The sequence below is a fragment of the Homo sapiens genome, chromosome 18 (genome assembly GCF_000001405.40).
Source record: "Homo sapiens chromosome 18, GRCh38.p14 Primary Assembly".
NCBI classification, from domain to species: domain Eukaryota; kingdom Metazoa; phylum Chordata; class Mammalia; order Primates; family Hominidae; genus Homo; species Homo sapiens.
The window spans coordinates 62,359,673-62,373,230 of NC_000018.10; the positions used below are offsets into that span (position 1 = coordinate 62,359,673).

General features: G+C 44.1%; 1 protein-coding gene across 10 annotated transcripts in view, besides 2 other annotated features; it reads left to right on the plus strand.

Annotated features, from left to right (window-relative positions):
- Nucleotides 1-13,558, plus strand: part of TNFRSF11A (TNF receptor superfamily member 11a) — a 65,979-nt gene that overhangs the window by 34,363 nt on the left and 18,058 nt on the right. For 7 of the 10 annotated variants that reach the window (XM_011526245.3, XM_011526244.3, NM_003839.4 and 4 more), the window contains 4 exons: nt 283-377; nt 2,008-2,121; nt 7,036-7,088; nt 9,029-9,812. In XM_011526245.3, the coding sequence (XP_011524547.1) occupies nt 283-377; nt 2,008-2,121; nt 7,036-7,088; nt 9,029-9,812 (1,046 nt within the window). The remainder of the gene's footprint in view (nt 1-282; nt 378-2,007; nt 2,122-7,035; nt 7,089-9,028; nt 9,813-13,558) is intronic. The other 3 variants (NM_001270949.2, NM_001270950.2, NM_001270951.2) reach the window with 3 other exon arrangements.
- Nucleotides 7,291-7,827: an enhancer, noted in NCBI's record as "NANOG-H3K27ac hESC enhancer chr18:60034196-60034732 (GRCh37/hg19 assembly coordinates)". NCBI's record gives its function as "activates a minimal SCP1, AML or CMV promoter by ChIP-STARR-seq in naive H9 embryonic stem cells {active_cell/tissue: H9 hESC(naive)}" and the evidence as "EXISTENCE:reporter gene assay evidence [ECO:0000049][PMID:30033119]".
- Nucleotides 8,613-8,762: a silencer, noted in NCBI's record as "silent region_9506". NCBI's record gives its function as "represses an Ori minimal core promoter by ATAC-STARR-seq in GM12878 lymphoblastoid cells {active_cell/tissue: GM12878}" and the evidence as "EXISTENCE:reporter gene assay evidence [ECO:0000049][PMID:35858748]".

The window sequence follows — 13,558 nt, forward strand, 5'->3', positions numbered from 1 at the left end:
CACGGCCAGAATATTCTTTCCTGAAGACTCTGCTCTGCTCCTTTGCTGACCGCAATCTCAGAGTAGCTGTCAGAGAACACAGGCAGCGTTTGCTTTTGTTTATTTGTTTGTCCCACCTTGTGCTGTTCTCCTCCCTGTGGAAGGCACAGGGGATTCAAATGTCCAAGAAGGCGTGGGTTCCTCTCCTGAAGGAGCTGGCAATCTGGGAGAGTTTTGCATTTGTTCACTTTTTAAAAAACAAGCTTATAAAACCAAAGCACTGAACCACCTTTTCCCCCACAGCTGTACCTTCCTTGGAAAGAGAGTAGAACATCATGGGACAGAGAAATCCGATGCGGTTTGCAGTTCTTCTCTGCCAGCTAGAAAACCACCAAATGGTATGTTTAAAAAGAGCCTGTTGGTTGATAGATGTGCCCCAGGGTGGTCAGCTGGTTTAGATCCCTCCCAGATGGCACGTGGATTTGCGGGCGTCCTCTCCCCCTTTATTTCATCCCGTGCATGGTCAGCTGAATATTTCATTCTCATCAGTATTTTAATTCCAGGTATGTTGTTTCCTTGATAATTTTCTACACTGGATTGGGGGTAACTAATAATGTTTTGATATACATAAAAAGAAAATAGAGCTGCAAACATAAATTAAAATGCTCAGACATGGTGGGATGATGGTGGTCACAAGTGAGGGTGTCTATGAGGAGATTTTAGTCATCTTCCCAAATTGTTAGGATCTAGCTATCATTATCTATGGAACATGTTGTAGATTAGATTAAATTAATCTTTTTTTTTTTTCTTTTTGAGATAGAGTGTCACTCTGCCACCCAGGCTGGAGTGCAGTGGCGTGATATCAGCTCACTGCAACCTCCAACTCCCGGGTTCAAGCGATTCTCCTGCCTCAGCCTCCTGAGTAGCTGGGATTACAGGCGCACACCACCATGCCCAGCTAGTTTTTGTGTTTTTAGTAGAGACAGGGTTTCACCGTGTTGGCCAGGCTGGTCTCAAACTCCTGGCCCCAGGTGATCTGCCCGCCTTGGTCTCCCAAAGTGCTAGGATTACAGTAGTGAGCCACTGTGCCCAGCCACATTAAATTAATCTTAAGTAGAGTTTCAGATTGCCAGAAAGTTGATGGTGGAGGCTGGTTACTTGGTGAGCAGGACAGTGTGGAGGTGTGGGTCCAGATATCGGAAGAGATTGCTTCAGTGGCAAGGAGACCTTTCAGATGAGGAAAGAGAACAATAGGCCACAGAATAACCGGGTTAACAAGCTTTGACCAAGAAATCAGGGGTTTGGCCTTGATGTTTTGGGAAACAGGAAGACATTAAAGCATTCTGGATGTGGAGTTACACAATCAGAGCAAACTTTTTTAAAGACCATTTGGCAGATAACATTAAATATAACTGAAGGAATAAAAAGTTATTTTAAAAAAGAGGAGAGGAAAAGTAGGAGTCCAGGAAACCAGGTCATGTAAATCAAGAGTTTTGAGCAAGGATTCTAGCAATGAAGTGATCAGGGAGGGATGAAGAGAACAGTTGGGTCCACGTGGTGTCGGGGATGAAAACTACAGAAATATTTCACAGGATGGCTGTGGTTCTGTTCTCATGACCAGCAAACCCCTGGTGCCCTGTTGCTATTAGGAAAGAGATAGAAGAAGCTCCTTTTGTCTGCAGGGGTCATTTTTCTGGGGATACTGAAGGGTTCTGGAGGTTAGCCAAAATGAGACTGGGTGATGTGGTGAGCATGATGAGAGCTGTTCTAAGGTAGAAACACCGTAATGGCCCTGGCTGCTCTCCCGTAGAGTGAAACCGGACTGAGCAGGGCTGGCTGAGATTGTGGATCTCACCCTTTGGAATGTGAGTGCTCGCGGACAAAGGGCAGCCAAGGGTGGGGACTGTCACTTCTGCTATCCCAGACCAACATTTTTGATTCTGAGGTTTGATTTACCGGGATTTGTTTTTCAACTGCGTAAAATTAAAGAATCTTTACTACCATATTTCTCATTTTCTTCCAATACAGAACCCCATGTTTACTTGCCCGGTTTAATAATTCTGCTTCTCTTCGCGTCTGTGGCCCTGGTGGCTGCCATCATCTTTGGCGTTTGCTATAGGAAAAAAGGGAAAGCACTCACAGGTATTGTGTCTATGGTGGTTTTTGCAAACCAATCTTAAAAGATAGATTTCTAGGTAAATGCTTTGGAAGTTGAGTAGATTGTCTACTTGCTGCCTATGGTGATCTGCTTAAACTAAAGCAAAACACGTTTTATCATTCTCTGGCAAAAAGAAACAAAACTCCAAAAACTTGAAAAAGCCAATATCCTGCCTAGTTGTATATAAGGGAACAGGAATACGCTGGCGTTCAGGAAACGGATGACTTGTAAGCTCTGTATTTGAGTTGTGTAGACTCTGCAGCATCACATATATGGGAGCTTGCATTTATCCTAGAATACATCAATTTTTAATGCATGCTTTTAAAATATACATAAAATATTTAGATGACCGGTAGGGGGGAATTTCTGACTGGAGTGTTACTTTGAAATAAGAACCTTCGGTGGGTGTGGTGGCTCACACTTGTAATCCCAGCACTTTGAGAGGCCGAGGCAGGTGGATCACCTGAGGTCAGGAGTTTGAGAGCAGCCTGGCCAACATGGTGAAACCCCATCTGTACTAAAAATACAAAATTAGCCAGACATGGTGGCACATGCCTGTAATTCCAGCTACTTGAGAGGCTGAGGTAGGAGGATCACTTGAACCTAGGAGGCAGAGGTTGCAGTGAGCCAAGATCATGCCATTGCACTCCAGCCTGGACAACAAGAGCAAAACTTCATCTCAAAAAAAAAAAAAAAAAAAAAAAGAACCTTCGATTATGAAAATAAGTTATATTGAATAAAATTTGGGTGCTTATTCTTAGAATAGACGGTCAAGTCTTATCCTGTTTCTTGGGAATAATTTTCCCACACAAATTTGTTAGTGTCTTTAAACATCACGTCATGTTTAACTTGTAGACTACAAAGCTAAAAATGTGTAATTTTTACGAAAGGATTCAAGGCATCATTAGATTTCCTAAGAATATCTCTTAAATCTTTCCTTTAATATTCAAGTCATTCTCTTTTGACTTGAATATTAAAAACCTGCTGTTTCACCATCCTTTTCCATTTTCAGTTGCTCTCTTATTTATTTATTTATTTACTTATTTATTTTTTAGACAGAGTCTCGCTATGTTGCCTAGGCTGGAGTGTAGTGGCACGATCTCGACTCACTGCAGCCTCCGCCTCCCAGGTTCAAGTGATTCTCCTGCCTCAGCCTCCCGAGTAGCTGGGATTACAGGCATTTGCCACCACGCCCAGCTAATTTTTGTATTTTTAGTAGAAATGGGGTTTGACCATGTTGGCCAGGCTGGTCTCGATCTCCTGGCCTCAGGTGATCCACTGGCCTCTGCCTTCCAAAGTGCTGGGATTACAGGCGTGAGCCACCACGCCTGGCCCAGTTGGTTGCTTATTTATAGGGCCCACCTTTGCCTTGCTGTGATTTGATCAGTTTTCCCACGTCACACTCTTGGACTTCAAGAGACCCTGCATATCTAGCTACTTCTCTAACCATTACATTGCCAAATGAAACACTAGACAATCAGAAGATTAATTAAAGAGGAAAGATGGGGATTGCAGATGCCAGTGTTAAGCAGTGAGCAATGTTTGAGTGATGACCCTTTTTTTTTTTTTTTTTTTTTGAGACAGAGTCTCGCTCTGTCGCCCAAGCTGGAGTGCAGTGGTGTGATCTCAGCTCACTGCAACCTCCGCCTCCTGGGTTGCAGCGATTCTCCTCCCTCAGCCTCCTGAGTACCTGGGATTACGGGCATTTGCCACCATGCCTGGCTAATTTTTGTATTTTTAGTAGAGATGGGGTTTCACCACGTTGGTCAGGCTGGTCTCGAACTCCTGACCTCATGATCCACCCACCTTGGCCTCCCAAAGTGCTGGGATTACATGCATGAGCCACCGCACCCAGCCAAGTGGTGACCATTTCTTAAAGAGTCTGTTCATTGTTGAATGCCTTTATTTAGTGCAGCTTCACCTCCTTAACAACATCATTACTAGGGATTTGGATAATGCATGTTCAGATGATGAAGGTCGCTTGTAGGCACGTTTATGTGAGATAAACAGACTTCCTGATGTTTTGTTCTTTAGGTTTTTCTTTTTGATACTATTTTACTGCCATATGGGCCTACCATTTAGTGAACTGGATGTCATGACTGTTAGCTCTTCATCCTTTCATCCATACATGTTTATTGATCATCAGGGACTGGACTGACACTGGGGTCTCAATATCGAGCAACACAGACACAGCCAGTGCCCTCCTGGAGGAAGCATCTTAGTGGGCAGGGTAGGCGTTAAGCCCACAGAGGGAAGCTGAGTATGCAAGAGAAGGTGCTGAGCACCAAGTGGCAGATGACAGAAGGTCAGCCCATCCCTGGGGCCAGCCAGGGTCTCCCAGAGGAGGAAATGGGTGAGTTAAGATCTGAAAGACAAGTCAGAATTCACTAGACAAGGGGCATCAGGAGAACCACAGGCATTCTATCGTGAGAGAGCTGCATGATGAGGGGAGCACAGTGCATTAGCGGGCTGGAAGGAGCTAATGGCACCGTAGCAGAAAGCCAGGGACCAAGTGGAAGATGAGGCTGGAGAGGAGGGCATGGCGAGACCATGTAGCGGCTGCTGAAGGAGTTTGCTCCTTGTCCTTAGCAAAGGGGACCAAGGGCGGCCCTCTGGCTTTAGAGTAGCAAACAAATGTGTGGTACAGTGAGAGTAGATGCAGGCGCACCAGTTAGGAAGCTGTTTGCAGTTGTCCAGAGGAGAGGTGATCATGGCAGGTCTGCATGTTTATCAGCTCCGTGGACAGGTATTATTTTTTAGTGCCATTTGTGATTGTCTAGACTGATTCCTCCAAGGAAACAGCTGCAACTGTCCTTTTCTCTTTTGGTGGGGGGTAGGGAGGGCGTGGTTTACCTTGATATATAATTGCAAAATAAGAGAAAAGAAGCAAGAATAATGATGATAATAGCAATAGCTGACACATATTAAATATTTAATATGTGCTGACATGACTATATATATTTTGCGTGTACTACGTACATCTTCACAACAGCACCATGAGGTGGGCACTATTATTTCCCCTATTTTGTGATGAGACTGCTTAGCACCCTCCCTGGCACGCTTAAGTGCTCATTAGCTGTTACACTGAACTGTGATGATCTTCCCATGGAGAACCTGACAACTCCTAACTTTAGTCGGTTTTGTTTTTTATTGTTGTTGCTTTTTGAGACAGGGTCTCACTTTGTCACCCAGGCAGGACTGCAGTGGCACAAGCGTGGCTCACTGCAGCCTCGACCTCCCTCCCGGGCTCAAACAATCCTCCCACCTCAGCCCCCCAAGTAGCTGGGACCACAGGCATGCACCACCATGCCCGGCTAATTTTTGTATTTTTTTATAGAGGTGGGGTTTCACCATGTTGCCCAAGCTGGTCTCAAACTCCTGAGCTGAAGCGGTCCGCCCACCTCAGCCTCCCAAAGTGCTGGGATTACAGGTGTGAGCCACCGGGTCCAGCCCTAACTTTAGTCTTTATAGTGAACCCAACATTAAATGTTCATTAGAAGTGGGATAAAATTGTATCTTTGCATAATATAAATTCATAGATTTCTTAAAATTCATAAAATTTAACCTTTTAGGTTTCATCACTTCTGTAAGAGTGGGTGGAGATGTACTTTTTTGAACATATTCTTCTTTCTTCTGAGAAGCAGCCAGATATAGTGGAAAAGGTCTTGGGGCCCGCTGGTCTCAGTGGGTCTGACACCTAGCTTGCTGTGTTTGCCTCACTTTTATAGTACATTCAACCTAGTTCACTGGAAAAACCAGTCTCCTAGACATGTTTTCTTTGTTCTTCTATGATGTCTAACTTAGTCCCTCATAGCCAAAGAAAACTTGTTAAGAGAATGAGAATGTCTATAGTCATAGCAGCACCTCTGACAGCCCCCAAATGTGCCCAGAGGAAGTCACTGAAACGTTAGAGGATCATGTTTTGCTTTGCATAGAACAGGAAGTTCTGTTTTTGATGGGAGTAAGATGGCTTCATAGCCTTTATTTTTTATTTTTTATTTTTTTATTTTATTTTTTGGTTTTTTTGAGACAGAGTTTCGCTCTGTTGCCTAGGTTGGAGTGCAGTGGCACAATCTCAGCTCACTGCAGCCTCCGCCTGCCAGGTTCAAGCAATTCTCCTGCTTCAGCCTCCCAAGTAGCTGGGATTACAGGACATTGCCACCATGCCCGGCTAATTTTTGTATTTTTAGTAGAGATGTGGTTTCACCATGTTGGCCAGGCTAGTCATGAACTCCTGACCTCAAGTGATCCACCTGCCTTGGCCTCCCAAAGTGCTGGCATTACAGGTGTGAGCCACCGCGCCTGGCCCTTCATAGCCTTTAAATCAGTTGATTTACTTTTAAATGCTTTCACTCCCAGGAGTGCTCACTGAAAGACTTGCGGTGGACTCTGTTGAAAGATAATATTGAACTGACCTAGTGGTCATAATACTGAGCCTGATAGAGAAATAAAAATCTAGAATGATTGCACTTATATGTGTAGTGTTCCCCAAAAGTCAAATATACAGAGATATAGAATAAAACAATGGTTAGCAGGGACAGGGGGAAAGAAAATGGGGAGATGTGGGTCGGAGGATACAAAGTAGCAGATGTGCAGGATGAAGAAAGTTGTCCAGGAATCTAATGTACAGATGGGGACTGTAGTTAATCATGTTGTATCATATTCAAGATTTTTGCTAAATTTGTAGATTTTAGCGGATCTTGCCACACACACATAAAAATGGGTAACTAAGTGAGATGATGGGTATGTTAATTTGCTTCACTATAGTAACCATTTTACTATCTATATTTGTCCTATAACATGTTGTATACCTTAAATATACATAATAACCTTTATTTAAAAGAAAAGAAGTGGGAAATAATAACTTGAAGTCCTTATCCTTGCTTTGTGTTTTCTAGCTAATTTGTGGCACTGGATCAATGAGGCTTGTGGCCGCCTAAGTGGAGATAAGGTAGAGTGAACAGTTGTTGGTGCCTCTGTTAAGTACATTCAACAGTTAGGCTGGTAGAGCCATCCTAGTCACATATTGAGCACCCCCCCCCACCCCCACTTTTTTTGAGACGGAGTCTCGCTCTGTGCCTCAGGCTGGAGTGCAGGGGTGCAATCTCAGCTCACTGCAACCTCCACCTCCCAGGGTCAAGTGATTCTCCTGCCTCAGCCTCCTGAGCAGCTGGGATTACAGGAGCCCACTACCAAGCCTGGCTAATTTTTTGTGTTTTTAATAGAGACAGGGCTTCACCGTGTTGGCCACGCTAGTCTCGAACTCCTGGCCTCAAGTGATCCACCTGCCTCAGCCTCCCAAAGTGCTGGGATTATAGGCAGGAGCCACCGCGCCCGGCCTCAGCTCCTTTGCTTACAGGGCATTTCCAGGTTCAGTGATCAAACCTCAAATTCCAGGATGGATCCCTGCAGAGCAGCTCAAAGCCCAAGTCCAGGCTCATTCTAGATGCCTGTTTTCTTTGTCTTTGTTTCCACTTCTGTCATCTCTGTGTTCATGTCATTTTTTTTAGTACCAATCTTGATTGTCTGGTACAGATTCCTAAGAAGGATGAACTGCAACTTTCCTTGACTCTGTAGTTATTCTGGTAACATTTTATGTTGACACAGTTCAAAATTATAGGAAAGTAGTGAGAAAAGGACAAAGACCTTCCATATACCCTAGACATAGGCCCACCAGTTGTTTCTATTTTCTCTCATTGCTTTGTGATTTGCTTACTCTCTGTATGTGTGTATATGAACACAGGTATGTTTTCTTCTTGAATCATTTTACAGTGAATGGCAGACTGTGTGTCCCATATCCTTAAATATTTCAGTGTGTATTTAAGAACAAAGACATTCTCATATATAACCATAGTACATGTATCGGAATCAAGAAATTTAACAATGGTACAATACTATTATTCAACCCACATTTGATATTAAATTTTCATTAATTATTTCATTATGTCCTTTAGATCTTTCTTTCTTTTCTTCTTCTTCTTTTTTTTTTTTTTTTTTTTTTTGAGACAGAATCTCACTCTCTCATCCAGGCTTGAGTGCAATGGCGCAATCTCGGCTCACTGCAACCTCTGCCTCCCAGGTTCAAGCGATTCTTCTGCCTCAGCCTCCTGAGTATCTGGGATTACAGGTGCCCGCCACCACACCCAACTAATTTTTGTATTTTTAGTAGAGACAGGGTTTCACTGTGTTGCCCAGGCTGGTCTTGAACTCCTGAACTCAGGTGATCCACCCACCTTGGTCTCCCAAAATCCTGGGATTGCAGGCATGAGCCACCACGCCTGGTTAGATCTACTTTCTTTGATATAAAATGTATACATTTGAAAGCATAAGCTCAAACTGATTTCTCTAATTCCAGGCCAACTCAACATGATTCATTCTGGTCTTTCCCTTTCCCATATTTGAATCTTTCTTTCCCCAGCTGTATGAAACCTGGCTCCTATTATTCTCAGTATATTTCCTCATTTGCTCAATTCTAGAATACATAGAACGTAGTTTCAGAATTACTAGAGCATACCACAGTGATACACAGAGCTGCTTACTCGAGTTCAATATTTGTTTACAGTTGTTTTGGGGTTTTGTATTTAGATTGAGAATATGTAGTCAGAATACTGTGTTCAAAAGTCATTTGGGTTAGCTCCTCTCCTTGCTCAGATGTGAACATGCTTTTCATCTGAGATGCAGCTACATTCATTTGTTTCTAGTTGTATTCCATTCTAGAGTTCTCCTGCACTCGGTAATTTGAAATAACACAAAGTTCCATAGTCAGTTTTCCATCTGTACTTGTTATGGTGGAAATAATCAGTGTAAACACTGTTTTCAGCAATGTTTAGCTAAACTTGTCCTAATAACTCTAGGTATTAATGCCTCTGCCTTCTGAATGTAAATCGGCAGGAGTCCTCAGGTGACAGTTGTGTCAGTACACACACGGCAAACTTTGGTCAGCAGGGAGCATGTGAAGGTGTCTTACTGCTGACTCTGGAGGAGAAGACATTTCCAGAAGATATGTGCTACCCAGATCAAGGTGGTGTCTGTCAGGGCACATGTGTAGGAGGTGGTCCCTACGCACAAGGCGAAGATGCCAGGATGCTCTCATTGGTCAGCAAGACCGAGATAGAGGAAGACAGCTTCAGACAGATGCCCACAGAAGATGAATACATGGACAGGCCCTCCCAGCCCACAGACCAGTTACTGTTCCTCACTGAGCCTGGAAGCAAATCCACACCTCCTTTCTCTGAACCCCTGGAGGTGGGGGAGAATGACAGTTTAAGCCAGTGCTTCACGGGGACACAGAGCACAGTGGGTTCAGAAAGCTGCAACTGCACTGAGCCCCTGTGCAGGACTGATTGGACTCCCATGTCCTCTGAAAACTACTTGCAAAAAGAGGTGGACAGTGGCCATTGCCCGCACTGGGCAGCCAGCCCCAGCCCCAACTGGGCAGATGTCTGCACAGGCTGCCGGAACCCTCCTGGGGAGGACTGTGAACCCCTCGTGGGTTCCCCAAAACGTGGACCCTTGCCCCAGTGCGCCTATGGCATGGGCCTTCCCCCTGAAGAAGAAGCCAGCAGGACGGAGGCCAGAGACCAGCCCGAGGATGGGGCTGATGGGAGGCTCCCAAGCTCAGCGAGGGCAGGTGCCGGGTCTGGAAGCTCCCCTGGTGGCCAGTCCCCTGCATCTGGTAAGTGACTTCCCAGTCTCTCACTTCTGAGCAGAAGGGCCAGTTCTTGGTACAGGGTTTGGGGGCAGGTATTACCATTTAGGAAGGAGGAAGCTAATGGGAAAACCTCAGCTTGTGCTTTTTCTCTTAATAAGCATTTTTACAGGATGGCTTTGGATTCAGTCCACGTGTTTGGTTATACACTGCGCCCAGCGCTGTGTGGCTTCATCGTTTACCACTGGGGCAGTTTCTGCATCCATGCATATCCCATACCCTTTTGCATTCAGGCTTTTCATGATAGGATTAGACCTCAAGCCCCAGCACTGACCCCGGAAAGACAAAGTCAACATCGGCGTCAGGACTGGCTGAGCCAAGGCATTCCCTCAGATTTCTGCTTTTTGGTTTTTGTTTTCAAAGCACCTTAGGCCTCTTAAATCTCCCCCAAGAAAGCACTTATAAGTTTTAGGAGGACACACAAAATTGTTTAGTTAATCCTTAATTAATTAATATTTATTGTGAATAATGTGTTGATTCTATACCAAATGAATGATACAGTAAAACTGTCTTTTAAAAAGTTTCATGAGAAAGGCCCCTTTTATAACCACAACGTATCATATATTTATGGAACCAGGCAGATAATTTTAACAATTTAACATCATTATAAAGATGTATCACTGCAACACTGCCTGAGCATGAACAACCCACCGATTATAATATTATAACTTTTTCCCATGAGGGTAAAACACCATCTGTTTTATTACATAGTTACAAAGGACTTTGCAGCTGATAGTGAGGGCTCTGGCTCTGAGAATTAACTGTCATTTGAAGGGTCAGGGATCTCTTTGAGAATCTTCCGAAAGCTACAGACACTCCCTCCAGAAAAACGAATATATGGATATATACTATTTAAGGGGCTTCACAGAATCCTCCAACTCATATTTTTAAAAGGCCCATTCATAGGCCGCCCCTCTCCAGAGATGCTTTTTCTTCTCTGCTTCTTTATTTAGACTGCAAGTGGTGCTAGCAGCCGGTCTTCGAATTGTTTTATAAATCTGAGGTAGCTAGATCTGTGCCTTAAACACAGAGACTGTTTTGCCTCGTGGGAATGATGGTTCCTGGCTTTAATCTGTTCCTCAAGCTTGTGGTTTTGCTGCAGCTACATAGATTTACTGATGTATAAATTCAGTAATAGCAGTTCTCAGTCAAACAGAAAGGAGGAGATATGTTTGGGGATATTTTTCAAAGAACTGGTATGTTTTCTTCTCAGAAGATCTCAGAATTGTTCTTATTTTTTAAGATTGTAAGGAATCTCCATGACTGGGCTTTGCTGTTCGTTTGCATTGTTCTATTTCTTTTCTTTTCTTTTCTTTTCTTTTTTTTTTTTGAGACCAAGTCTCACTCTGTCGCCCAGGCTGGAGTGCAGTGGCGCGATCTCGGCTCATTGCAACCTCCACCTCTCGGGTTCAAGCAGTTCTCCTGCCTCAGCCTCCCGAGTGGCTGGGACTATAGGCGCATGCCACCACACCATGCTAATTTTTGTATTTTCAGTAAAGATGGGGTTTTTCCATGTTGGCCAGGCTGGTCTCAAACGCCTGACCTCAGGTGATCCACCTGCCTCAGTCTCCCAAAGTGCTGGGATTGCAGGCGTGAGCCACTGCACCTGGCCTGTTCTATTTCTTTTCTCTCAGTTTATTGTCTTCCCCTTGGTTGTGGAGACAGACAGGACCCTGGGCTGTGGGGAGCGAGAAAGCTGACGTTCTGTCTCTGGCAGCAGCCAGGTCCTGGCCACACTGTCAGGGGCAGACCGGTTTTTCAGTGGGTGACACCAGGAAGATGATGTTGCCTCTGTGTGAAAATCAGCAGCAGTTCTTGGAAGAACAGTGTTGGCCAGATTTAAAGAGAGAGAGAGAGACACATGGATCTTTTAATGCCATAAAACAAAAAGCCCGATCTTTGCTCTCCTGTAAGAGTCAAAACCGTAGCCTAGTCTGTTTTTCATCATCTTTTATTTCTCTAGCACTAAACCATCTAGGGATGGAGAAAAGGAATAAAAAGTGTGTCATCAACTAAGTGGTGTTAATTTGCAAAAAGTTTACACTGCTTTTTCTGTCTTCGTCTGGTGCTTAGCCATGCAAAACATCCGTAGAGAGTCTGCCCGTGGTCGACGCCAGCAAGCGGGCCAAATTAATTTTCGCCTGAGGAGAGGCAGCAGCCAGATTGATTTTGGAGGCTGTGCTATTCTCTCCACAATTACTTCTCCATGAACAGGCCTTATGGTTTCTGGTCAAAATAGTACTTTCTCATTCTTGCTTTTTCATGTAGTTTTTTAAAAAGTCACAATTTACGTTCTATAAAATGCGTGAAAGAGGCTGGAGCTTCGGTGAGCAGTCCTACAGAGGCCTTATCCCATGGTCCCCTCAAAGCCCCTGTGCTCTCAGGACTGTGCTGATGTGACATTTGTTTAAGGGTTTTTTGGATTTTTATATGAGAGGATTTTTTGTTTGTTTTTACTTACAATCACATCAAATAGTTCTGGAGAAATGACAGTGACTGGGGACTTTTCCTTTAGGGAAGAGTATCTCCTGTCCCAGCATCTTTGTGAGGAGAATGATTATTTTTCAGACAGCTCCACAAGTGTAGACAACTTTAAAAATCATGATACCCAGTGCTGTTAAGGCTATGTTAGCCATGTTATAAGTCCTAAGAAGCAAGGAGAATGATTAGCAAAGATCAGTGAAGGGGGAAGCATACTTCTGGTTATGTCTTAAATAACCATGCCTTAATTTAGGTCTGAAGTTACGCCTAATCCTGATGACGTGATGGTTGCCTTGGTTACAAGCCCTCTCACCTGGAGATTGGCGCATTCTCACTGTGCCCCTAGAGAGTTATTTCATGCGAAAGAAACCATAACTGCTTATGATTAATGTGTCTGTTGTTGGCTGGTGGCTTGGTTTTGGCTCCTGAAGCCACTCGTTAGTCTATCACTTCTGAGCTGGAGAAAGTTGGGGTGGTCTTTTTTTTTTTTTATCTTTTAAAAATCATTTTGCTTTTTAATTATTTCAACTTTTATCTTAGATTCAGGGTACATGTGCAGGTTTGTACCTGGGTATATTGTATGATGCTGAGTTTTGGGGTATGACTGATCTCGTCATCCAGGCAGTGAGCACAGTATCTTCAATCCTTGTTTCTCTCCCTCTCTCCCCTGCCTAGTTAGAAGTGCCCAGTGTCTATTGTTGCCTTCTTTATGTCCATGAATACCCAGTGTTTAGCTTCCACTTATAAGTGAGAACACGCAGTGTTTGGTTTTCTGTTTCTGTACTAATTTACATAGGATAATGGCCTCCAACTGCATCCATGTTGCTGCAGAGGACATGATTTCCTTCTTTTTCTATGGCTGCAAACAATTCTTGATGAACACAGAATACCTATTTGTTTTTCAATTAATTTATTGAAGGTCCAATTTATTGAAGGTCCACTGAGCCACAGAGCCTTGAAAAAGCCTGAAAAACAAGTAGGGATTAATGCCAGGGAGTGGACCGTGTGAAAAGGTATCAATCATTTGAGAAATCCAGGCCTTCCACAGTCTGCCCCATCCCTGACCTGCGGCCTGTTGTTTGTAATGAATCTTGGGGTCTTTCTCACCAGCCTGGATAATCTCACACCCTATCAACACCCCAGCTCTAGGCAGCCACAACCAGTTAGTGGGAATCCTGGCTGGGTGCAGTGGCTCACGCCTATAATCCCAGCACTTTGGGAGGCTGAGGTGG